General features: G+C 52.4%; 1 protein-coding gene across 5 annotated transcripts, besides 3 other annotated features; it reads left to right on the forward strand.

Moving 5' to 3' along the window:
* CBX2 (chromobox 2) lies at nucleotides 12,510-23,182 on the forward strand. Of its 5 annotated transcripts, none has more exons than XM_011525383.3 (6): nucleotides 12,510-12,584; nucleotides 13,583-13,626; nucleotides 14,561-14,626; nucleotides 16,895-17,000; nucleotides 18,931-20,231; nucleotides 20,477-22,769. In XM_011525383.3, exons 4-6 carry the CDS (start codon nucleotides 16,968-16,970, stop codon nucleotides 20,646-20,648), a joined length of 1,506 nt encoding a protein of 501 aa, XP_011523685.1. In that variant the 5' UTR covers nucleotides 12,510-12,584; nucleotides 13,583-13,626; nucleotides 14,561-14,626; nucleotides 16,895-16,967; the 3' UTR covers nucleotides 20,649-22,769. The 5 variants fall into 5 exon arrangements, with proteins under 5 accessions (XP_011523685.1, XP_011523684.1, NP_005180.1 ...); XM_011525382.2 differs by lacking the exon at nucleotides 12,510-12,584 and adding an exon at nucleotides 13,347-13,506; NM_005189.3 differs by lacking the exon at nucleotides 12,510-12,584 and adding an exon at nucleotides 13,347-13,506 and having other exon boundaries at nucleotides 18,931-23,182.
* Nucleotides 13,152-13,531: a silencer, noted in NCBI's record as "silent region_9082". NCBI's record gives its function as "represses an Ori minimal core promoter by ATAC-STARR-seq in GM12878 lymphoblastoid cells {active_cell/tissue: GM12878}" and the evidence as "EXISTENCE:reporter gene assay evidence [ECO:0000049][PMID:35858748]".
* Nucleotides 13,542-13,611: a silencer, noted in NCBI's record as "silent region_9083". NCBI's record gives its function as "represses an Ori minimal core promoter by ATAC-STARR-seq in GM12878 lymphoblastoid cells {active_cell/tissue: GM12878}" and the evidence as "EXISTENCE:reporter gene assay evidence [ECO:0000049][PMID:35858748]".
* Nucleotides 14,007-14,600: an enhancer, noted in NCBI's record as "H3K4me1 hESC enhancer chr17:77752607-77753200 (GRCh37/hg19 assembly coordinates)". NCBI's record gives its function as "activates a minimal SCP1, AML or CMV promoter by ChIP-STARR-seq in naive H9 embryonic stem cells {active_cell/tissue: H9 hESC(naive)}" and the evidence as "EXISTENCE:reporter gene assay evidence [ECO:0000049][PMID:30033119]".

A 25,075-nucleotide genomic window follows, 5' to 3' on the forward strand; every position in this document is an offset into this window, starting at 1 on the left:
GGGAGAGAGGTTGCAGTGAGCCAAGATTGTGCCACTGCACTCCAGCCTGGGTGACAGCCACACTCTGTCTCAAAAACAAAAGGACTTCATTTCTAAAATTATTATTTAATAATTTTACCTGCTTACCAATGGAAGGCAAAGAGTAAATGATATCATCTTTGTAAAGTGGCTGTCCCAGTCCTTGGCACATAAATGCTCAGTCATGACGAGTATCCAATGACAATTGCACAAGCAGGAAAAATTATGTTTACAAGGAAGTATACTTATATGAGGACATGCTCCTAGTGTGCTGATGCCGATGGAAGAAATTATAAAGATTGTATACATATATCGCCTATGTAAAAATGCAAAAAGAACAATTATATAAGATATTAATATCGCCTTTTTTCTGGGTGATCTTTATTCTATCTAAATTTTCGTGTATTATCTATGGAATGTTTTACTTTTTACTTTTTTTGTTGCTGTTATTAAGAGACAGGGAGGGCCAGGCTCAGTAGCTCACGCCTGTAATCCCAGCGCACTTTGGGAGGCCAAGGTGAGCGGATCACAAGGTCAGGAGATGGAGACCATCCTGGCTAACACAGTGAAACCCAGTCTCTACTAAAAATACAAAAAATTAGCTGGGTGTGGTGGCGGGTGCCTGTAGTCCCAAGCTACTGGAGAGGCTGAGGCAGAAGAATGGCATGAATCCGGGAGGCGGAGGTTGCAGTGAGCCGAGATCACACCACTGCACTCCAGCCTGGGCGACAGAGCGAGATTCTGTCTCAGAAGAAAAAAAAAACAAACCCAAAAATTAGCTGGGCATGGAGGCAGGCGCCTGTAATCCCAACTACTGGGTAGGCTGAGGCAGGAGAATCACTTGAACTCACAAGGCAGAGGTTGCAATGAGCTGAGATCACACCATTGCACTCTAGCCTGGGCAACAGAGCGAAACTCTGTCTCAAAAAGTAAAAAATAAATTAAAAATAAAAAAAGATATTATCTTTGGTGAACTACCTGAAGTCTTTTGCCCACTTAAAAAAAAAAAAGAAAAAGAAAAAACATGGAATTCTGTGTCGTTTTTTTTTTTTTTAATTTGTAAGAGTCCTTTGTATATTCTACATACAAGTTCTTTGTATTACAAGTATTTTCTCCCAGTCTGAGGCTTCCTGGCTCATGTTCTTGTAACGGTATCATTTGATGAGTGCAAGTTTTAAAATCTGACAAAGTCTAATTTGTCCATTTTTTGAAAATAACTCTTGCTTTTTAGAAACCAACAGACCTTTGCCAGCCTAAAAGTTGCAGGTATTCTTTTGTATTTACTGCTTTTTTATTTTTTAATTTAATTTTTTTTTTTTTTTTGAGACAGCCTTGCTCTGTCGCCCAGGCTGGAGTGCAGCAGCACATTCTCGGCTCACTGCAACCTCTGCCTCCCGGGTCTGAGCAATTCTTGAGCCTCAGCCCCTCAAGTAGCTGGGATTACAGGCATGCACCACCACGCCCTGCTAATTTTTGTATTTTTAGTAGAGATGGCCTTTCACCATGTTGGCCAGGCTGGTCTCAAACTCCTGGCCTCAAGTGATCTGCCTACCTCATCCCCACAAAGTGCTGGGATTACAGGCATCAGCCACAGTACCTGGCCATTTATTTTATTTTATTTTATTTTTATATTTTAGGGACAGGGTCTTGCTCAGTCGTCCAGGCTGGAATGCAGTAAGTAGTGCAATCGTGGCTCACTGCAGCCTCAAACTCCTAGACTCCTGGGCTCAAGCATCTTCCTGCCTTAGCCTACCAAGTAGCAGGTACTACTACAGCTGGTTGCACCACCCCAGCCAGCTAACTTTTGTTTTTGTTTTGAGACGGAGTCTCACTCTGTCACCCAGGCTGGAGTGCAGTGGCATGATCTCAGCTCACTGCAATTTTCACCTCCGGGGTTCAAGTGATTCTCCTGCCTCAGCCTCCCGAGTAGCTGAGATTACAGGCACGCACCACTATATCCAGCTAATCTTTTATATTTTTGGTAGAGACGGGGTTTCACCATGTTGGCCAGGCTGGTCTAGAACTCCTGACCTCAAGTGATCTGCCTGCCTCAGCCTCCCAAAGTGCTGGGATTACAGGTGTGAGCCACCATGCCTGACCCACAACCAGCTAGCTTTTTAAAAAAAACTTTTTATTGTCTAGGCTGGTTTCAAACCCCTGGCTTCAAGCAATTCTCCCATTTCAACCCGTATTTACTTCTAGAAACTTTATTATCTTCACTTTTGTGTTTAGGTCTGAGCCAACTCACATTAATTTCCAGGTGTCATGTGAATTGGGGCCATGGGTCTTTTATTTTTATGTGTATGGATGACACAGCTGTCCAACATCATGTGTTGAAAAGTCTTCTGTCCCCGATGATTTTCTTTTGTCAGAAATAAAATAACCATGTATGCCTGTGGGCCCATTTCTGGACTTTCTTTGCTGTTCCATGAATAGTATTTGTCTATTCTACACCAAGTCACAGTGCACTGACTATGTAATTTTATAGTTAAGTCTTGAAATAAGGTCATGTGAGTCCTCCAACCCAGTTCTTTTTCGAGATTGTTTGGGTAATTCCAGGTTCTTTGCATTTCCCTGTATATTTTATAATTCACTTATCCATTACTTTCTTGCCTTTTAGATGCTGAGATTTTGATTAGGATTGTGTTCAATCTTTAGATCAATTTAGGGGGAACTGATATCTTTTTTTTTTTTTTTTGAGACAGAATCTCGCTCTGTCACCCAGGCTGGAGTGCAGTGGCGCGATCTCAGCTCACTGCAAGCTCCGCCTCCCAGGTTCACGCCATTCTCCTGCCTCAGCCTCCCGAGTAGCTGGGACTACAGGTGCCCGCCACCACACCTGGCTAATTTTTTGTATTTTTAGTAGAGACAGAGTTTCACCGTGTTAGCCAGGATGGTCTTGATCTCCTGACCTCGTGATCCGCCCGCCTCAGCCTCCCAAAGTGCTGGGATTACAGGCATGAGCCACCGCGCCCAGCCATATTAGTCCATTTTCATACTGCTATGAAGAGATACCTGAGACAGGGTAATTTATAAAGGAGAGAGGTTTAATGAACTCACAGTTCCACCTAGCTGGGGAGGCCTCACAATCACGGTGGAAGGTGAAGGAGGAGCAAAGTCACGTCTTACATGGCAGCAGGCAGAGCGTGTGTGTAGGGGAACTCCCCTTTATAAAAACGTCAAATCCCGTGAGATTTATTCATGATCACAAGAACAGAATGGGAAAACCCCACCCCCATGATTCAATTACCTCCCACCGGGTCCCTCCCACGGCACGTGGAGATTATGGGAGCTACAATTCAAGATGAGATTTGGCCACGCCATATCAATATTCTAAGGGCTGGTTTGCCTGATGATGGTCCTCAGAGGTGATTTAAGGATCTCTTGTGGCTACAGGGAAGGAAAAATGGTTCCATGGAGTCATACACACGGACTCAGCACAGGGCCTGGCACACAGTGGGCACCAACAAATGTAAGCCATGTAGCGCAGCACAAAGCAGGGAGGAGGTGGGGACGGATCAAGTGCTATGGGACAGACTGTGTCCCCCGCAAATCCATATGTTGAGGCCCTAACTCCCAGCAGCTCAGAAAGTGACTGCATTTGGAGAGAGGAACTTTAACAAGGTAATTAAATTAAAATAAGGCCATTGTGGTGGCCCTAACCCAACAGGACGGGTTTCCTTATGAGAAGTGGAGATGAGGGCCGGACGTGGTGGCTCGCACTTGTAATCCCAGCACTTTGGGAGGCCAAAGCGGGTGGATCACCTGAGGTCAGGAGATCGAGACCATCCTGGCCAATATGGTTAAACCCTGTCTTTACGGGTGTAGTGGCGCATGCCTGTAATCCCAGCTGCTCGGGAGGCTGAGGCAGGAGAATCACTTGAACCCGGGAGGTGGAGTTTGCAGTGAGCCAAGATCGCACCACTGCACTCCAGCCCGGGCAACCAAGCAAGACTCTGTCTTAAAAAAAAGAAGAGGATGGCCGGGCGTGATGGCTCACGCCTGTAATCCCAGCACTTTGGGAGGCCGAGGCAGGTGGATCATAAGATCAGGAGATCGAGACCATCCTAGCTAACACAGTGAAACCCCATCTCTACTAAAAACATACAAAAAAAATTAGCCGGGCATGGTGGCGGGCGCCTCTAGCCCCAGCTACTTGGGAGGCTGAGGCAGGAGAATGGTGTGAACCCGGCAGGCAAAGCTTGCAGTGAGCGGAGATCGCACCACTGCACTCCAGCCTGGGTGACAAAGCGAGACTCCATCTCAAAAAAAAAAAAAAAAAAAAGAAGAGATAAGATGAGGACACAGATGTGCACAGAGGGACAACCCTATGAGGACGCAGGGAGAAGACACCGTCTACAGCCAAGGAGAGAAGAAACCAACCCTGCCCACATCTTGATCTAAAACTTCCAGCCTCCAGAACTGTGAGAAAATTAACTTCTGGGAGCCCCTAGAAGGGCTCCCAGGGCATGGAACTTTGTTGTGGCAGCCGGAGGAAATACACGACGGGAATAGCCAGTGCCCCATCCTGCAAGTCTAGGAAATTAAGAATCTTCCACTCATTTAACACAATCCAAGCAGTGCTAGGCTCAGTGGCTGCTAAACTGTTTTCTGATCTTGCCCTCTGGAGAGGGTACAAATGACCCCCAAAGTGGCCACAAATTCTTCCAGATCCTGTATGGTCACTCATTTGCTACTCCTCTGGTCAAGAGGTTGGAGTTTACCTCACATGGCTTCCATGCAACTTGCTGTGGCCCCTGGGACGTCAGCAAACATGGGACCCCAGCTTCCATTGGAACCACCGAAGAAAGGATCCACGCTGGCCTGCTGCAGACAGACAGCCCCGCCAACAACCAGCACCAAGCACCAGCCACGCAAGAAAGGCCATCCCAGGCCATCCAGCCCCAGCCAAGCCGAAGCCATGTGAGTGACGCCGGCATGACCAGCAGGAGCACTGAGGAGCTGAGCCCAAGGATGATCCGTCAGGCTAAGGTGTTCTCCCCGGCTAGGCCACAGCCCCCAGGTACTCAGGCAAACGCAAATCCAGTCGCTGCTGTGACTTGAGGTGAAGGAGCTTACCCCGAATAATCTGGGTGGGTCTGATCAATTCATTGAAAAGAAGCAACTCCGCCTGTGGACCGCAGCGCCAGCTCCTGTCTGAGTCGCCCCGGCTGCCTCTGAGGAAGGCTTGCTCTGCAGTTTGGGACTCGCCTCACCAGACCCCACCATCACATCAGCCAGTGCCTTCAGTAAATCTCTTTGAATGCTGATATTTCTATCTATTGGCTGTTTCTCTGGAGCACCCCGTGGTCTAGGTTGGGCTGGGGGTTCTGCTAGTACTTTTGTCATTCCCTTTGCTTTCCTGTGGCTGGAGACTGTGCTTTGTCATCGTTGCTGGCCCAGTTCCTGCCCGCCCTTCTCCTCCAGGGCATCCTACAAATGTCCTGTGCCACCACCTCTCATAGCGCTGCCAGGAGCAGTGTGAGAAGGACTCATGACCACGCCTCAATCCTGAATTCCCCTCGCCCGTTCCTCTCTGGATGCAATCTCACTACTTTGTCTTACTTCCCCTGCTTCAGAGGGCTGAGATTCGCCATCCTGGGGGGCACATGTCCCCATAAGCAGCATTCACACAGGACAGGGGCCTCTAAAGGCAGTGACCGCAGGATGCAACTTGTACTGAACCCAAAGAAATATGAATGTGAGGCCGGGCACAGTGGCTCATGCCTGTAGTCCCAGCACTTTGGGAGGCCGAGGTGGGAGGATCACTTGAGGTCAGGAGTTTGAGAGCAGCCTGGCCAACGTGGTGAAACTCCATTACTAAAAATATAAAAATTAGCTGGGCGTGGTGGTGTACGCTTGTAATCCCAGCTACTCGGGAGGCTGAGGCAGGAGAATCACTTGAACCCAGGAGGCAGAGGTTGCAGTGAGCTGAGCTAGCACCACTGCACTCCAGCCTGGGCGACCGAGCTAGACTCCATCTCAAAAAAAAAAAAAAAAAAAGAAAAGAAAAAGAAATATGGGGAGGGATAGCTTTAGGAGATATACCTAATGCTAAATGACGAGTTAATGGGTGCAGCACACCAGCATGGCACATGTATACATATGTAACTAACCTGCACATTGTGCACATGTACCCTAAAACTTAAAGTATAATAATAATAATAAAAAAAAAAGAAATATGAATGTGAGGTCAGTGGCAGCCTTTCCTGCTGATGCAGCAGGGACATGGAAAGTACAAGGTTTCAGCTTCAAGGAGGAATATCCTATAAACGTGCCTCAAAAGACAGTAGCCATCCCTGCCAGCATCAGGAGCCCATTCTTTCCAAATACACAGAGTCCAGCGAGGACACGCCAGGCCATAGGAGCTGAGGCTGCCAAAAACGCTTCTGTGCCTTGTGAGTTAAATTAACATCATTTCGGTGCACAGTGGCTCACACCTGCAACCCCAGCCCTCTGGGAGGTGAAGGCAGGAGGATCTCTTGAGCCCGGGAGTTCAAGACCAGCCTGGGCAACACAGTAAGACCCCCAATTTCTATAAAAATAAAAATAGTAGCCAGGTCTCGTGGCACACCTCTTGTAACCCCAGCTACCTTGGAGACTGAGGCAAGAGGATCACATGAGTCCAGGAGGTCAAGGCTGTGGTGAGCTATGATCACACTACTGCACTCCAACCTGGGCAACAGAGCAAGATCCTGTCTCCAAAAAAAAAAAAAAATTAGCATCATGGCTGGGTGCAGTGACTCACGCCTGTAATCCCAGCACTTTGAGAGGCCAAGGCGGGTGGATCATCTGAGCTCAGGAGTTCGGGACCAGCCTGGCCAACATGGCAAGACCCCGTCTGTACTAAAAAATATAAAAATTAGCCAGGCATGGTGGCGCGTGCCTGTAATCCCAGATATTCGGGAGGCTGAGGCAGAAGAATCACTGGAACCTGGGAGGTGGAGGTTGCAGTGAGCAAAGATCGTGCCACGGCACTCCAGCCTGGGCAATACAGCATTTCTATAGAGAAACTTTTTTTTTTTAATAAATGCTACTCACGGCAGCAGAAGCTAAACACTGGAAACAACTCACCATCTATCAGCCATGGTCTGGTAAATAAACAATAAACTATGCAGCATCCCACCCCAGAATACCGCGGAGAGGTTCAGCAAAGAAAGCAAGGCTCTCCATTGGATGGAGAGTGACCTTCTGGCCATACTGCTAAGAAAAAAGGCCTGGCATGGCTGGGTGTGGTGGCTCACACCTATAATCCCAGCACTTTGGGAGGCGGAGACAGGTGGATCACCTGAGGTCGGGAGTTCGAGGCCAGGCTGAGCAACATGGAGAAACCCTGTCTCTACTAAAAATACAAAATTAGCCGGGTGTGGCGGTGCATGCCTGTAATCTGAGCTATTCGGGAGGTTGAAGCAGGAGAATCGCTTGAACCCAGAAGGCGGAGGTTGCAATTAGCCGAGATCGCGCCATTGCACTCCAGCCTGGGCGACAAGAGTGAAAACCCTGCTCAAAAAAAAAAAAAAGGCCCGGCACAGTGCAGCCTGTGGTGGCGTGCCACCGTGCCTGTGATAGAAAGAAACGAGCAGGAGGGCAGCTATGAGAAATGTTCTGAGGCCCCTTGCTAGGACAGGCACACCTCTGGAGGAGACAGCGTTTGCTGCCTGCAGAGTGGGGAACTAGGTTGCTGGGGACAGGGAAGGAGGAAGGCTTTTCAGTATATATCCTCCTGAACCTTTTTTATTGTTGTTGTTTATTTATTTTTTTCTGAGACAGAGTCTCGCTCTGTCGCCCAGGCTGGGGTGCAGTGACATGATCTCGGCTCACTGCAACCTCCGCCTCCCGGTTCAAACAATTCTCTGCCTCAGCCTCCTGAGTATCTGGGATAACAGGCACCCGCCACCACACCAGCTAGTTTTTGTATTTTTTAGTAGAGATGGGGTTTCACCATCCTGGCCAGGCTGGTCTTGAACTCCCGACCTCATGATCCACCTGCCTCGGCCTCCCAAAGTGCCGGGATTACAGGCGTGAGCCACTGCACCCAGCCCTCCTGAACGTTTTTATTTCATCACCTGGGCGTACCCCACTCTCCTGGCTGAGTTGACAGCCACCAAGGTGGATGGTGGTGGAGGAGGCACAGCCTGACTGGTGAGGTGCCGCCCTGCCCCGGTGGGAGCCCAGCCTCAGACCCTCACTCACCTGGGGAACCTGGACACGCTCTGGGCTGCCCTCTTCTCACCTATAAAACAGGATTTCCCAGTCCCTTCTTCTAAACTTCCCTGACTCCAATTGCAGTTCTTCTATTACTGAGAGTTTTGCCAACAACAGTGAGAGAAAGGGTCTTTTTTTTTTTTAATAGGAATTTCTTGGACAGATCTTTACACTTTCCCACCAAAAAGCAACAGGATCTCTCTCTCTTTTGTGTGTACATCAAACAACATTTCTGTGTTTGGGTTCTTTCAAACAAGAAGTAACTCATCTGAGGAAGGGAGTGAAATAGAACAAGCATTCGATTTAGAGGGGATCTTGCAATGCAGTTCTCCAATCTTTAAACCCACGGGTTGTTCCCAAAGGATTTATAGAGGATGCTGAGGCCACCAGCAGGAGAGAGGAACAACGGTTAACACACTCAGGAACTGTGCGCTTGTTCTCATCACTTAGAATCCCTGAACTATTTGTTTGTAAGTAAGGGTTTCACTCCTAGATTTTAGACCTTTGAAAGTGTATGGTTTTGTTTGTTTGGTTTGGTTTTTTTTGTTTTGTTTTGCTTTGTTTTGCTTTTTGAGATGGAGTCTCGCTCTGTCGCCCAGACTGGAGTGCAGTGGTGCCATCTCGTCTCACTGCAACCTCCGCCTCCTGGGTTCAAGCAATTCTCTGCTTCAGCCTCCCGAGTAGCTGGGATTACAGGCACGCGCCACCACTCCCGGCTAATTTTTGTATTTTTAGTAGAGATCGGGTTTCACCATCTTAGCCAGGCTGGTCTTGAACTCCCAACCTTGTGATCCACCTGCCTCGGCCTCCCAAAGTGCTGGGATGACAGGCGTAAGTCACTGCACCTGGCCTGTTATTTTTTAAATTGTGAAAATACTGCATTTCACACTGGAAAATTACGCTCATAAAACCGTTTTGCACTGTAAAAATTCTGCACCCGGGAAAGGTCCTGGAAAAAGCCGAGGTGGCATGCGCGCGGAACTGCCGGACCAGCTGAGCATCAGGTTGCTCAGACATCACTGGATCACTTGCACTTACTAGAGTTACTGAGAAGTGGGGACAGAGGCAACCCCATCTACCCGGGCTGTGACTGTGAATTGGTGCAGACCCTCGGAGGGCAGTTTGACAATAGCTAACTCAGAAAGGTAGAGCCATGTATCTTCTTTTGTTCCTTTCTCCCATAGAGAAGACATACCCTTTTAAGACAGCTCTGTGCATGCTATTCTGTAGATACGCTGGTACTTTGCACATGGGAAGACAAAGATGGTCATTGCTGCACTGTTTTAATAGTAAGAAACTGGAATCAGGGACCGATCTGATTGCAAAATTAATAAATGACACTCTTTAAAATAAAAGCTTCATGTAATGGAGACCTCCTGCAAGGGGACTGTCATCATAAATGAGCTCATTGTCCATTTCCCACCTCCTATAACTGTGTTCCTTAACCACCCCCTGCCTCCAGGATCGGGGCGGGGAAGGGGGGTGCCTCCAGCCTGAGCCTGTCTTTAGGTGTGCTGCAATGAGCTAGGTGGCCTGGTGGGTGAGGGTGAGTGGAGTCCGAGAAACATACGGGGTTGCTCCAGCCTTTGACCTTGGAAGGCCTCCTGAGAGCAGGCTCTCCACCACTTCCAGAACAGCCTGCCCATTTGCCCCTCCCAGGCCAACATGGGAAACAGCAGGCCCAGGCTCCACGGTCCTGTACCTGATACAGTTTGTATTCTCCTGCCTCATGTGCACAGCGAGGGATTGGGCAGGCTGCCCTTTGTAAGAAGTGTTCTAAACGCTGAGAGCCCTGGGCTGCCTCTGGCTTGTCCTGGGTCAGAATCCAGGGGCGGACATGTGCATCGTGTGCCCAGGGGTCCTTAGGCAAACTGAAAGCTTGAGGGATCCTGCAAGTGCCTGAACTGTGCTTATTTTTACTTGAGTTCTGATACACAAACACGGTCTGTCCCGCATATGTAATATTCACATATTACATACACAGAAACGGCGTGACATTAACACAGCTAGCCTGTAAGTCACACCTTAGTCTTGCAAATGTGCAGAGGAGCTGGGGGCAAATTACGACATGAGATATTAAATGTGATGTAAATGTGTGATGTATTCTAAATCCTGAGTGTATCCCATGCAGACCGGCTGGTGGTGGTGTCTGGTTCCTCCTTTTAGCCAACACCGCTGATGGCAGTAGGGAGACAGTGCTTTTAGAAAATCTAAGAGCTGTTTGAAAGTATTTGGTTAAGAAGTAACTACTGTTACCTAGTTACAGCTGCCAAATCCAGGGTCACTGGATTGATCTCAATTCCTGACTTTTCCATTGACTTCAGAGTGAGACATTCTTTGCTTTGGCATCTGTAATTTTCGATCCACAAGCATAGCGTGAAAATACTTATGCTTTCTTAGTAGCATTTCAGACACGAATAAGTTAATACTTGTCCTTATCACTTGCGTAGAAAGGAAATCAGTACTATACAAAGTCTGTACTCCCTGAATGTCTTCCTCTGTGCCTGGATTTTTAATATCTTTTTTGTATGTGTTTTAAACATTCTTGTATATAATTAAGCATAACTGTGAGTGTAGGTAAACTATTCATATTCCAGGATTAATTTATGTAACCGTATTACTTTCATTTAAAATATGTTTAAAGCAGATCCCTCTCATTCCTGTGGACCTGCAAAGTGTCCAGTACAGTGACCACCAGCTACATGTGGCTACTCCCACTGAAATGAATTAAAGTGAAATACAATTTAAAATTCGAGCCTTCAGTGGCACTAGCCACACTGCCAGTGCTCAGCAGTCCCAGGTGCCTAACGGCCACCACACTGGACGCAGTGGAGGGAGGCTCTGTCCATCCACTTCCATCACCCACAGATGGAGCTGCTGCTACGGTCTTATACTACTGGATATCTAGTAGTGCCCACATGATAGTACATACTAACTATCTGTCGAATGAATAATACAATAATTAGTTTTAACTTGTCTTAATAATTCTTAAAATGTGACAGTCAAAACGGAAGACGTCCGCTTGTTTTACACAGTTGGATTAGCTGGGGGTTATTCTTCCCTTCTGCCTATTCCCAGCTTTGTTTTTAGGGAACGTGCCACAGATTTTGGATCACACGTTCACAGAATGTATCTGATTATTTCATTCTGGCCAAATCTGTCATATTTGTTTCTCCAAATGAATTATCTAAATATTATTTTACCCAAACTGTTTGCAGTTGGGTAGATGATGTACATGTTAAACCTTCCTGGACGCTGATTTATTTTTTTCAATGTGTTAGTATCAAATTCTAGCAAATTTATTTCTTAAGCAAAGAAATCATTCCCTTTTCAAAGCCTTCTTTTCTTTAAAAAGAAATCAAGCAAGTATCCCAGCATACCATGAGTCAAAGAGGAAACTGGAAACTTCCAGGGCAAAATCTTAGACCCAAGATGAATTCTGCAAGGAAACGTGATGTGAAACTGATCCAGCTATTTGTAGGATTACAATAAATACACCTTTGCCCTCAACTCCACAATTTACTGCCAAGCTGCACAAGACAGGGATACAAAAGGAGCCGGCGGAGACACTGTTAGCGGATCCCTTCACTCCAGAGGCCAGTTTTATCCCAACACAAGGATTCTTTACTGCCTCTGCCCCTGAGTAAACAAACACCTTCCCCCCAAGGACATTTCCCTTTCTCCTGCCCTCTTTGCAAACAACATCTGAATTTGCACGTACTCTCCAGGAAATCAAATGAATGTAACCTATCTAACCAAAGAAACTGAAGAACACGCCATAAATTGAAAGATCGGTTCCTACAGTTCAGTATTTTCTCCAGTAGGCCTTTCTGTAAAAACAAAAAAACACATTTCTCCTGCAGAACCCTTTATAAATATGGTTTTGATGATCACAATTACATTGAGACAGTCTCCTACAACAAGAAACGACTTTTGGATCTGCTCAACAGAAAGAGAATTTTGCAGCTGTGTTCAAGGAAGCAAGAAAAGCAGAGAGTGAATTTTCATGGAGTTAGACTGCGTTGAGACGAATGAAGCTAAGGCTCAGGTCTCTTTCATTACGTGTTTGACTTGTCCTGATTCAAAATCTAAATAACTTAAAGGGTGATTCTTCATGGAATTCGAATCTTAACACCGGAATAAAAGGGTAGCCTGCTGACGACGATCACAGGGAGGACAAGGGGTCACCCCCACTTTCATAACATGGCCTGACCCTTTTCTGCCGCGGACAATTGATCCGAAGGACGCCGGCTGCCCAGCCCTGGCGGGCCACTACTGACCTAGTCCGAAGTTAGGAACAGCCTTGCAAACCGCCCCCTCCCCCTCCATTTCATCAAAATCGGGGAACAAATTCAGAAAAGGTGCAGCTGGTTTTCTCCCTACACGTGCCCTAAAACTCGGGGGCTGGATCCACTTTTCATAGCTGTTTAATAAGAACTCCGGGCAGTTCGTATTACTTCTTTCTCAGAGTGCTTGGTGGTTTAAGTTAAAGCATTTTCCTCTCTCGCCTTTGGGGGAAAAAGCCTCGGCTGCTGGGGTTTGTGGGCCCCTCCCCCGGACTTCGTCTTCCTTTCCTTCCCCAGCCCCCGACCCGTTTTGCTCTCGTCCAAAACAGAGCGACTCCCCCGCTGCCGAGGAAAAGCCAGTTCAAGAAGCCGGGGGAAGGGTGGGGCCCCGCGTGCCCCGGAGCAGCGCCCCTCGAAGGCGGGGGCAGGAAGCAGCCGCCGCGCCCCGTCCCGCTTCCCTCCCTTCGGGCCAGAACAATGGCTTTTTGCCCGGAAAACGGAGTTGGGAGCAAGGGCGGGCGCGCCCCGGGAATCACGCGGGACTCGGTGGGCGCCCCAGGCCCGAAGTCCCTAGGCACCTCCTCCCCCAGCCAGGGGCCCGCCCGCGCCCCCACCCCCGCCCCCGCCCCCGCCCGGGGCCCCGCGCGGGACCCCCCGCCGGAGCGCGAGGCCCAGCCCGCCGCGGACAATGCGCGCCCCGCCCCGCCCCGCACCCGCCCCCCCTCGCTGATTGGCCCGCACGGGATTTGGGCAGCGCGCGGGGGCGGGCGGCGGGCCGGGGCGCGGGCGCGGAGCGGCGGTGCGCGTGCGCGGGGCGGGCCGGCGCCGGGCGGGGGCGGTGCTTTGTGTGCTGCCGGCGGGGCGCGCGGCGGTCCGGGCGGGTGACTGGCGGCGGGCGCCGCGGTCGGGCTGGCTGCCGGGCAGCATGGAGGAGCTGAGCAGCGTGGGCGAGCAGGTCTTCGCCGCCGAGTGCATCCTGAGCAAGCGGCTCCGCAAGGTGCGTGCGGCCCGCCGGGCCCCCCGCCCGCCGCCCGCTGTCCGTCTGGCTCACGGCCCCTCTTCTCTCCCCGCAGGGCAAGCTGGAGTACCTGGTCAAGTGGCGCGGCTGGTCCTCCAAGTGAGTCCCCCGCGACGCCGCGCCCCCCTCCCGCCCCCTCGCCCGGGGGTGGGGACGTGGAGCCCCTCGGCCGCGCCGTCCGGTGGCCTGGGGGCGCCCGCGGGCAGAGCGGGAAGTTCGCGGGGTCCCCGCGGGCTCCTCCGGCTCTGAGGGGGGCGGGGGCCGCCCGGCCCGAGGTTGCCCTTTGTTTACACGCCCGCGGGTGCAGAGCTGGGCGGCCCCCCGCGCCAGAACCTCCTCGGCTGCCGCGCCGCGCTCCCCCCAACCCCCGTCCCGGCCGGGAGGGAGGCGCGGGATGCAAGCCCCCCTCCTCTTGGCCAGATTCTCCCCGCTGTAACCTGAGCTTGCTATTGATGGATGTAGAGTTTCTTTTTTTTTTTCTTTCTTTTAATGGAAGGGAGGGTGTTTGGCATCCCCGGAAGGGGCTCTCTGCACAGCTGCTCCCGCGGCCCCGTTTCTGCGTCTTCCCGGACCCCGCTCTTTCTTCGCTACCCCTCGAGGTGCCCCGGCCCGCGCGCCACATTGTTCTGGATCTCGGGCTGGGCGCCTGTGCCCCTCCCTGCATGCTGGACCTGCCTTCCCTTCCTCCTCTGGCTCCGGGCCAGGGTTTGGGGGAATCCCTCTCTGCAACTTTGCGTTTTATGGGGGTTTGTTTTTCTCCCAGGCAGAGACTGTGGGAGTCCTCTTGTGGCCTTGTTTTAATTGGGGGGTTGGAGCGGCAGTTTCCCTTTGGGTCTGAGGTTAGAGTGCTGGCTTGGTGGGGGGTGGCCAGCCTCCAAAACCTGGGTTTGGACTTTGAGAAGTGCCATGGTGCTACGGTGCCACTGCCATCGGCCCAAGTCGAGGAGCGGTGAGGGCGAGCCCCCTCGGGCTGCCTTGCAAAGCGGTGATCATCAGCCTGGCGTCTAATGCTGCCCTGTCCTCTGCTTTGCAGACATAACAGCTGGGAGCCGGAGGAGAACATCCTGGACCCGAGGCTGCTCCTGGCCTTCCAGAAGAAGTGAGGACGCTGACAGCACTGGGGAGGGTGTGGGGGAGGGACGGTGGCTGGTTGGAGTCGTGCTGGGCGCTGCTCGCCTGCCGGGAGGCTGGAGCTGGGGCTGTGGTCTGAGGTCCCTTAGCAAGATTGTGTCCAGGGCCATCTCTGTGGCTGGCTGTAAAAGTCCCCAGCCAGCCCCTCTCCCACCTTCTCCTAGCCAGCCTGTATCCATCCCTGAGAAGAACCTAAGTAAGTGCTGCTTTGGTGTTTCCGACAGCCATACTTGCAAAAACCAACTTTTTCAGTTGCTTCAGATAAAGATGTTATAGCTTCTCTTGGCCTTTTCTGCTGAGTAATTTGCACATGGCGCTAACAGAAAACCAGGAGAGCAGGTTTGCCACAGTGACGCAGGTCTGCCCTTCCAGCCCTGCACGCGTGTGCCATCAGGCAAGAAGGCTCAGAGAGGGAGCTGGAACACACAGCACGCAGTTGTGCCTATTGTGATGTCTCTCTCAAGAAAGAAACATTTATTTTGCTCTGGCCTGCAGCATACAGTACCAAGTAGCACCATGAGGCCGGATTGGGCCAGACTTGTTTCTGTAATTCTAGATGTCATTTCTATTTTTAGGTAGGAAGTTTAGGTTAAGAGATAGGCCTCCTTGAGATGTTCAAGGGCAAGGGGTGGTGAGGAGAGGGCAGTGGATGTGCCCACCTGGCATGAAGGGCCAGGGAGTACTGTTCAAGCAATGGCAAGATGGGGGGTGGTTTCACTGACGGCTCCCCCTGGATCCCCTGGCTGGACTTGCCCTGTGGATAGAGGCAGAAGAATTGGTTGCTGGAGTCTTTCCCAGCCAGGGTCAATCTGGACGGTTTGTTCTCTGGTAGCAAAAGGTGCATTCCCTTTTTTCCACTGTAGCGGGACATATTGGGTCTTCCCAGAGGGGTCATGATAATGGGGAAATAGAGTTTTCTGGTGGGGCGAGCAAAAAGAAGAGCCTGTGCTTGCTTAAATCCCTTTGGAAAATCGTAACAGCAACCCATCGTCTTCTGTTAGTTCCTGTCTGGGTGCTGTGAGCCTTGGGGTGGGGGAATGGCTTGGCCCACTTCAGAGGCTGGTGCGCTTCTCTGGATCTAAGACGGTGTCCTAACTGTTGAGAGAGATTGTGGTTTTGGTTAGAGCAGAAACACCTGAGATAAGAAGAGTGTAAAACCCATGGGTGGCTTGGATGACATCGTGGAAGAAAGAAAACAGAGAAGGTGGGACAGCCTTCTCCATCCACCAAAATGTTAGCTCTCTCTGGGCACTAGGAGCTGGCGGTTACCTGCTTGGTATTGGAGGGGGTGGGGGTATGGCCCTTGGCGACGCACAGGATCACAGCAGTCAGTGCACAGGTTAATATTTCAGCGGAGGAGATCCATGCAACACTTCATTGTCCTTTTAGGAGATTTCAGGTTAAGGACCAGCACTTAAGAGTATGAACTTTGCCTGGTACTAATCAGAACTGTGTTGAGGAGGTTGCCTTCCAGGCCCCAATGAGATGATGTTTGCCCAGATAATTACCAGGGCCCCTTTTCTGAAATACAGGCTTTCCCTGGGGGCTGGAGGTTCTGCTAGCACTTCATGACCCTGGAGGTGTGGAGGCTCTTCTGGGGGCGGGGGGGGTACTGCGAGTGGTGCGTGCATTGAGCCTTGCCTGCCTCAGACCTCGGCACCTCTGTCATCTCCCTCAAGAGTAGAGTTTAGGAACAGAGAGGTATTTTTAAAAAGGAAACAAGGAGAGTCATGTGCCAGCAGCCAGGCTCTGCGAGGGCTGGAGGACAGGGCCCACGGTGCTCCTTGCCCGGGTGAGGGTTTTATGCACCAGAAGCTGCCCAGGGGATTGGTGGCATCTCCTTGTCCTGGGCTTCCTTCTCCTATTGAAAGTAAGGAGGTTGGACCGTGTGGCCACCGAGGCCACTTCTGGTTAGAATATGCTAGAATTTCCATGCAGCAGTGCACCTGCAGGAAGCTGTCTTAAGTCAGAGAATACTGGGGCGTCATTGTTTTCCCAGCGTTGCTTTCCTGTCTTCAGCTTGTCCTTAGCCAAATGAAATGGGATGGCTGGTTACTGACCCTAGTGCAAAGAATGGGGTCTGATCTCTGCCTTGGGTATTTGATGATGTGTTTGCGGCAAACAGGATAAGCTATTACAGGCCAACAGGAATAGGGTGCTGGAAGCCATAGAGTCCCACATGGTAGAAGGGGTACGCACAGGGCTTCTCCCCCATTAACTAGTGGTGTGCCTTCAGGGAACATGAGAAGGAGGTGCAGAACCGGAAGAGAGGCAAGAGGCCGAGAGGCCGGCCAAGGAAGCTCACTGCCATGTCCTCCTGCAGCCGGCGCTCCAAGCTCAAGGTGGGTGGCTGCGCTGGGTATGCTGACCCCACCTCCCAGCACCCCCTTGGCGTAGGGGGCAGGCAGAGGGAGGGTTTGGGGCCCTCAGGAAGGGGGTGGCACTTCTGCCAACAGTCTGTCCCTCTACTCGGAAAACAGGAGCCCCCTTTCTTCCTGTCTCTCAGCTTCTGCTGCCAGGGGCCCCAGCCGGCTGAGAGTTCCTCCCCGCCCCTCCCAGGGGCTTCCTGCTTCAGCCTGTCCTGCACGCCTCTCTGCTGGGTGGCAGGGTCAAACTGCTGCAGACAAGCACTCTTCCCTCCCAGGGGGTCCTTGGGGGACGGAAAGGAACAGGAAGCATGCGTACAGTAGGTGCTCATAGGATTGCCGGCTGGATGTGACTCAAAAGCCTAAGATTTGGGGGCTACTCCGGGCCCACCTGCGGGTGCACCTTAAATCGAGGTGGCCACGAAAGGCAGGGCTGACTGAATAGCCAGGGGGTGCCAGGAGGGGCCTTGGAGGAGGGCAGAGGCAGTGTGGGCTGATGATGTGCTTTGGCCTTCTCGGGACTGTCCTGTCACCCCTCCTCGCTACAGTGATGGGCTCACCCCGCCACAGGTATGCATGCGCCCCTGGGGTCCGTGGTAGGGCCCCTCCCTCCCCTGAGGACAGGTGAGGCAGGACAGGATGGGGGAGGAGGGCCTGGCCTCAGTCCCGGGTGTGGCTTTGATTCCCTCCTCCGGGCACTGTCCCTGGACCTTCGCGTGTTGTGGCCACGAGCTCAGTCACTAACTGAACCTGCCTTTCCAGGAGGATTTCCTGAATGAACAGGATTCCCTGCTGTAGAATCTTGTTGGCTGGTCTACACTGGCCTTACGTTATCTTGAAAATCTTCCTTTTGAGCAGGATTGTGGGGGCTGCAGGAGTTCTGCTGACTGAGGAGTGGCCACAAGGCAGTGATTGATGCCTTGTTTGAGGAGGTTTGAGGAGATCACTCCTGTTGAAGTTGGGAGAACGGGGTGGTAGGGAGGCGGTGTTGGATCTGACTCCTAAAGCACACGCTGTAGAATTCTGACCCAGCAGGCAGCATGGCGGCCTGTAAAACACAAGGACACTCTTATTTAACATTGGCGGTGACATCCAGAAGGCGAGGAAGACAGTGGTTTATTTACCTGTATCCTGGAAGGCTCAGACTGGGAAATGGGGATACTGAAGCCCACTTGGTGTAGGCTGCAAAGCTGTGCATGCTACTTAATACGACTTGTAACCTCCTGAGTCCTGAAAACTGTGATGCTCTGGATACAGTTCCCTTTGAACGTCTGCTCTACAGCCCGGAGCTAAATCTGCATCCCCCTTGAAAGCTGATGGTGGACGGGGATGTCATGGTGTGGACTCTGTCCGTCCTTAACTCTGTCTTCATTTTTACGAGCCACCTATTTTTCTCTCTATCTACCTTTAATTTTGCCTCTCATGGAACTGTGAGCACGGTGAGAAGTTGCTCCTTCCTGACTGCCTCTCTGGTCTGGAAGCCACAGGAGTTGATGGCTGCAAGGTGCCCAGTGTTCCTTGGGGACAGCATGGCGCTCTGGACCCTGGGAACAGGCAGTGGAGGTGTGACACCTTCTCCTTTATCTTTTTTTTTTTTTTTTTGAGACGTAGTCTCGCTCTGTCGCCCAGGCTGGAGTTCAGTGGCACAATCTTGGCTCACTGCAGCCTCCACCTCCCGATTTGAAGCAATTCTCCTGCCTCAGCCTCTGCAGTAGCTGGGACTACAGGTGCGCGCCACAACACCCGGCTAATTTTTGTATTTTTAGTAGAAACAGGGCTCCACTATGTTGGCCAGGCTGGTCTTGAACTCCTGACCTCAGGTGATCCACCCGCTTCGGCCTCCCAAAGTGCTGGGATTACAGGCGTGAGCCACTGCACCCAGCCAACTTCTCCTTTATCTTTCCAGGAACCCGATGCTCCCTCCAAATCCAAGTCCAGCAGTTCCTCCTCTTCCTCCACGTCATCCTCCTCTTCCTCAGATGAAGAGGATGACAGTGACTTAGATGCTAAGAGGGGTCCCCGGGGCCGCGAGACCCACCCAGTGCCGCAGAAGAAGGCCCAGATCCTGGTGGCCAAACCCGAGCTGAAGGATCCCATCCGGAAGAAGCGGGGACGAAAGCCCCTGCCCCCAGAGCAAAAGGCAACCCGAAGACCCGTGAGCCTGGCCAAGGTGCTGAAGACCGCCCGGAAGGATCTGGGGGCCCCGGCCAGCAAGCTGCCCCCTCCACTCAGCGCCCCCGTTGCAGGCCTGGCAGCTCTGAAGGCCCACGCCAAGGAGGCCTGTGGCGGCCCCAGTGCCATGGCCACCCCAGAGAACCTGGCCAGCCTAATGAAGGGCATGGCCAGTAGCCCCGGCCGGGGTGGCATCAGCTGGCAGAGCTCCATCGTGCACTACATGAACCGGATGACCCAGAGCCAGGCCCAGGCTGCCAGCAGGTTGGCGCTGAAGGCCCAGGCCACCAACAAGTGCGGCCTCGGGCTGGACCTGAAGGTGAGGACGCAGAAAGGGGAGCTGGGAATGAGCCCTCCAGGAAGCAAAATCCCGAAGGCCCCCAGCGGTGGGGCTGTGGAGCAGAAAGTGGGGAACACAGGGGGCCCCCCGCACACCCATGGTGCCAGCAGGGTGCCTGCTGGGTGCCCAGGCCCCCAGCCAGCACCCACCCAGGAGCTGAGCCTCCAGGTCTTGGACTTGCAGAGTGTCAAGAATGGCATGCCCGGGGTGGGTCTCCTTGCCCGCCACGCCACCGCCACCAAGGGTGTCCCGGCCACCAACCCAGCCCCTGGGAAGGGCACTGGGAGTGGCCTCATTGGGGCCAGCGGGGCCACCATGCCCACCGACACAAGCAAAAGTGAGAAGCTGGCTTCCAGAGCAGTGGCGCCACCCACCCCTGCCAGCAAGAGGGACTGTGTCAAGGGCAGTGCTACCCCCAGTGGGCAGGAGAGCCGCACAGCCCCCGGAGAAGCCCGCAAGGCGGCCACACTGCCAGAGATGAGCGCAGGTGAGGAGAGTAGCAGCTCGGACTCCGACCCCGACTCCGCCTCGCCGCCCAGCACTGGACAGAACCCGTCAGTGTCCGTTCAGACCAGCCAGGACTGGAAGCCCACCCGCAGCCTCATCGAGCACGTATTTGTCACCGACGTCACTGCCAACCTCATCACCGTCACAGTGAAGGAGTCTCCCACCAGCGTGGGCTTCTTCAACCTGAGGCATTACTGAAGCCCCGGCGCCACCAGCTGCGCGGTCTTACTCCCCTTCCCTGCCTATGGTGTCGCTTGGCTAAGTGACTCCCAGCCCAAGCCCCCTCAAGAGTCTGGGTCGGGGGAGGAGGAGTGGGTGGCCTCCTTGATGGGCAGGCTTGGAAGGGACTTCTCCCGCACCCCACTCTGTCCCAGGACATAGGGCAGGGGGCCTCACTGCCTTGTTGGTCTCCACCTTGTTCCTACCTCTGCAGGCCTCTTTGCTCTCCCCTCTTGCCTCAGGAAACCCGGTGGCACCTGTGGCTCCAGGTGACTGTCTTGAACAGAGCGGGCTTCTTCATGGCTGCGTTGTTGCTGAGTTTGAACTGCTCCTCCCTGGCCTGCGTGACTGAATCACAGCTTTGGTCCCTGTCTTGCAGGGGCTGAGGTGTCAGGAGGGGACTTCTGGCCCACCTTGCCTTCAGCCCTGGAGTGGGCAGAGAGTATTGTGGGGAGGCATGGCCAGTGGGACTAGTGTTCCCTCCATCTGGCCACAGCTTTTGGGAGATGGGGTGGGCAGGGGTGGTCCTGGCTGGCATTGCCTGAGCCGGCAGTGATGAAGTGGGGAGCTTGCCCTTGACAGGTGGGGGCTGGCTGGGGCCTTAATGTGAAAAGACAGTGGCAGGCAGCTGGAGTAGAGCGAGCCCAGCAGCCCTAAAAGGCTGCCTTCATGGCCATCTAGCCCCAGTTCAGGGCAGCATCCATAGCCCACAAGCCAGCGTGGGTGGGGCGGGGGTGGTCCCACAGCTGGGTTCCACCTGAAGAGCCTCCGTGCCTCGGAGCAGGAGAGGCAGGCTATGGCTGCCACCCTCCCTCCTGCCTGTGTCCCAGTGAGAACTGACCTGAGTCCCCTTCCAAACCCAGACCCACCTCCTGCCCCAGGCCCACTGAAGCATGTTCCATTTCTAAAAAGCCCAGAGTTCAGTGTGTCCCAAGGAAAACCCAAAGTGGAGGTGCTCAGGTCCAGGGGAGTCCAGTGGGCAGGACCCTTGGCAGGCAAGCCCCTCCCTTCACTCCCAGGACCTACCTTCTGCTAGTAAAGGACTGGCTTCATTCTAATTATGGCCCACAGACTGCCCCGGAGACCTGGAGGACAGCAGTGCTGGCACTTGGGTGTCCATGGGCCCGTCTGCCGGCTCTGCCTGTGCTGCAAGTGTTGGCCGTGGGTCCAGCCAACAACTCCCTACGTCCTGTGTGGGGCCCTGCCCAAGTGGATGAGGCATTCCTTGAGGAGTATCATTTTCCCTGACAATCCCCATCACCTTTAGGGGTTCCCTGCTTGGCTCCTTTCCAGCTGAAAAACTAGACCTGTGCCATTGGGGAAGCTGGACAAAGTCTAGGGGGCCCGCCTGGTAGAGGGTCCCGGGAAGCTGGATCTGTCAGCCTCGGCCCTGAGGCCCCTGTTAACTCAAGACTGTGAGCTGCCTCTAGGTGGTCACGTCTGGGAGCTAGCTTGTATGGCTTCTGACCAGTATCAGGATTTCTGTTCTGAGAGCAGCGTGGGCAGCAAGGCAGGGCAGCCCAGAGGTGGCAGCGGCAGGCAATCTGGTCACTAGGTCTTTGTGATGCCAAAAATAAAAGAGGGTGGGGTGGGTGCTTTCTGTTCCTCTGATTGGATGGAGTCCGCCAGCAGGCATGGGGCTACATTCCAGTGCCTGACTATAGGGAGGCACTCCTGATTCCATGGAGCAGCCCGGACTTTGAGAATGGGCTCTGGTTTGCGGGGGGCAGGCGTACCAGACTGCAAGACCCCCCAGTACCTCACCGTGCCAAATAGGAAGAGGTGGCCTTGGTGTAGCCAAATGGATCTTTTTAACAGTGTGCCTTTGGGGAGGGACCCATGTCCATGGCTTCGTTGAGGGCCATCCATATGCCAGCTGGGGGCCAGCCCACAGTGGCCATATTGGCTGCAGCAGGAATGGTGCCCACCTCGGCGAATTGAAGGGCTAAGAGTCCCAGATAGCTAGGCCAGAGCTGGAAGCAGACAGTAAGGGGAAGAGCTGCTCCCACAGGAGAGGGAGAGATTCCAGCTCACTGCGCAGCCTGGGAGGAGGCGTGGATCCTGGCACGCTGAGCCTCAGGCACCAGCCTCCCTGTGCTCGACAGCAAAGTCTTGACTCCTTCCTGCTGAGCACTGTGCTACCTTCACTGCTCCAAAGCCAGACTAACAGCTCTCCAAGCCCTTGGGGTGACTCGGCTTCCAGGAGCTGTTGGAGAAATGAGGATGTCTGTCCCTGTCTGCCTGGGCAGGCCAGATTCCTCCCCAGCAGCCGGGTCTCTCCAGACCCTGATTCGGTGCCTTTCTGTTTACCAGCTACTTCAATCCCAAAGTTTGAATCTGCAGATACCTTACTCCCAGCCACTTTGCCTTCTTACTGTGTTGTGTGTTTTTCCTGGTGCTTCAAGAGCGTGTGCAGGGCAAGTGCCGTCACTGGGAACTGCACCAGATGCTCAGACTTGGTTGTCTTATGTTTACCAATAAATAAAAGTAGACTTTTTCTATTTTTATTTGCTGCTATTTGTGTGTGTGTTTGTGTTTGTGTAGCTAGGTATCTGGCACTTCTGACGATGCATTGTTGCTTTTTTCCCGAAGGTCCCGCAGGAACTGTGGCAATGGTGTGTGTGTGAAATGGTGTGTTAACCGCGTTTTGTTTGCTCCTGTATTGAATAGGAAGCAGTGGCCAGTCTGTCTTCCTTAGAGATGTTAGCATATTTTTATATGTATATATTTTGTACCAAAAAAGAGTGTTCCTTGTTTTGGTTACACTCGAAATTCTGACCTAGCTGGAGAGGGCTCTGGGCCGAGAGCTTTCACTAAGGGGAGACTTCAGGGGAGGATCAAGCTTTGAACCAAAGCCAATCACTGGCTTGATTTGTGTTTTTTAATTAAAAAAAAAATCATTCATGTATGCCACTTCTAATTGCTTTCAACTATGGCTGTTTGCTTTCTTAAAAGAGAACAAAAGTAGATATGTTATTGCCCTAGGAAAGGATCTCTGTTGAAACAGGACAGCAGCCTAGGGCCCACATTTAATTAGGATCAACCAGTTTAAGGAAATGCTTCCCCCAAAAAGCCCCTGATGGTGTGGGGAAGGGGAATGGTGAGTTGGGAACAGGTAGTGCCTACATGACCAGATTTTACTCAAGTGCATCTCATGATTCTGTGGGTTTTCTAGCATTTTTGGAAAACTAGCATAGGTTGCAGGGTTTTTTCTTCTTTTAGACTGATGTTAATTTATTTTGCAGGGGAAGGACAGCAAATGGCGTCAGAAGATTTTTGTCCTTTTGTTATCTCTTAGTATATCAATAAATTTTTAAAAAAAAAATTTGGCCTGATGTACATCATGAGTGATCCCTGGAAACACAGTAGACTCTGCTCTTTTCCTTTCTTGAGGCAAAATAATTCGTCTGGACATAGGCCAAATACTTGGGGCACAGAAAAATCAAAGACTGGGAAAGGCCACTTGCAGAGGGTGCAGAAAAAGATATGTTTCCAAGCAAAGGATGGGTGTTTAAGAGTCCATATACCAGTGGCTCACAACAGAGAACAACTGGCATTCCAGGGAACACTTGCAGATCTGGAGATCTTGCTTGTCACGCTGTGGGGTGGATGCCACTTGCATCTAGTGGGTGGATACCAGGAGTGCTGCTAGACGTCCTGAGGTGCACAGAACAGTCTCCATGACAGAAAGAAATGATCCTTCCCAGCACGTCAGTAGTGCTGAGTTTGAGAGACTGAATTAATGGGAAAAACAGAAAAAACACAATGGCAGGGGTTGGGGGCAGGGGCGGCATTATCGGCATCTGTCAGGTGAGGTCAGGGATGCTGCAATATATAATCAACTCATTTTGAGACTGCTCCCTTCAAAAGACATGCAAAGTTAAAATAAAACTCCCTCTCCCCGCGCCCACAGTATCCAGAGATGCTGTGTTGGAAAGCCACTCAACCCCTTGAAGCCACCACATGTGCTAATAATGCTTTACAAGGAGGCAGCCATAAAATTCCAGGGGAGTCACTGTGAGTTAGCAGCTACTGCAACTCCTAACCCAAAGCTCGCGAATAAAGAGGCGATTTGCTTATTACAGAACCTTCCCCGGCTCCTTAAGGCTTCCACCAACTTCAGCATGAATTTATTCATGAATTCCAGCCTCCAGGGAGAATAGAGCTTCTTTGAAGTGAAGAGAGAAGCTGGGCCTAGATGTTGGAGTAACTGGGTGAAAAGCTACTTGGGGCCAAGGCCTGAATGTTTTGGTTCAGGAAAGGGTTCCCCCTGCAAATGGAAATGTGACCCCCAGCACTAGCCCGCTCCAGGAAGTCCTGCGAATTCGAAATCGACTGTTGCAGAGAAAGAAGACTGCTGGTGGGCTCTCTTTTGCTGCCTTCGCAAGGCTCTGGCTGTTTCCTTTTGGAGAAAGTGGGCAAGGGCGACCCCAGCGGGCCTGTCCTCTGGCTTATGAGAGCTGCAGAAAGGGGCTGGGACCGCCAGGAAGGAGCAAGCTGGCCGAGCAGGAGCAGGCGCGGCCCCGGATGTGGAGCCAGGCTTTCGGGAGAGCCCATTTCTACAGGGATTCGGCCCGACGGGTGCCGGGCCGAGCTCGCTCGGCCTTTGTTAGTTTCGGCGCCGCTGATGTGATCGCCTAATCCAGTGGACCCTGAGAAGAACAGACTGGGCTGCCAATGGCCCGACCCCACGCCGCCGCGACCTGCCCGAGGGCACCGGGAGCGATGGGTGCGGAGGGGCTGGGAGGACGGTCATCCGGGCGGCTGGACCTCTCCTTCCTCCCCTCCGCCTTCGTGGCTCGAGCGCCGGGCC

This window comes from Homo sapiens, chromosome 17, assembly GCF_000001405.40.
Source record: "Homo sapiens chromosome 17, GRCh38.p14 Primary Assembly".
NCBI classification, from domain to species: Eukaryota; Metazoa; Chordata; class Mammalia; order Primates; family Hominidae; genus Homo; species Homo sapiens.

What these genes read in the sequence shown, in the direction of transcription:
- CBX2 (XM_011525382.2), top strand. Translation starts at nt 13,435, where the DNA reads ATGGAGGAGCTGAGCAGCGTGGGCGAGCAGGTCTTCGCCGCCGAGTGC. An exon ending in TGAGCAAGCGGCTCCGCAAG is followed by an intron (nt 13,507 to 13,582) that starts GTGCGTGCGGCC and finishes CTCTCCCCGCAG; the next exon opens with GGCAAGCTGGAGTACCTGGT. An exon ending in GCCGGCGCTCCAAGCTCAAG is followed by an intron (nt 17,001 to 18,930) that starts GTGGGTGGCTGC and finishes TTATCTTTCCAG; the next exon opens with GAACCCGATGCTCCCTCCAA.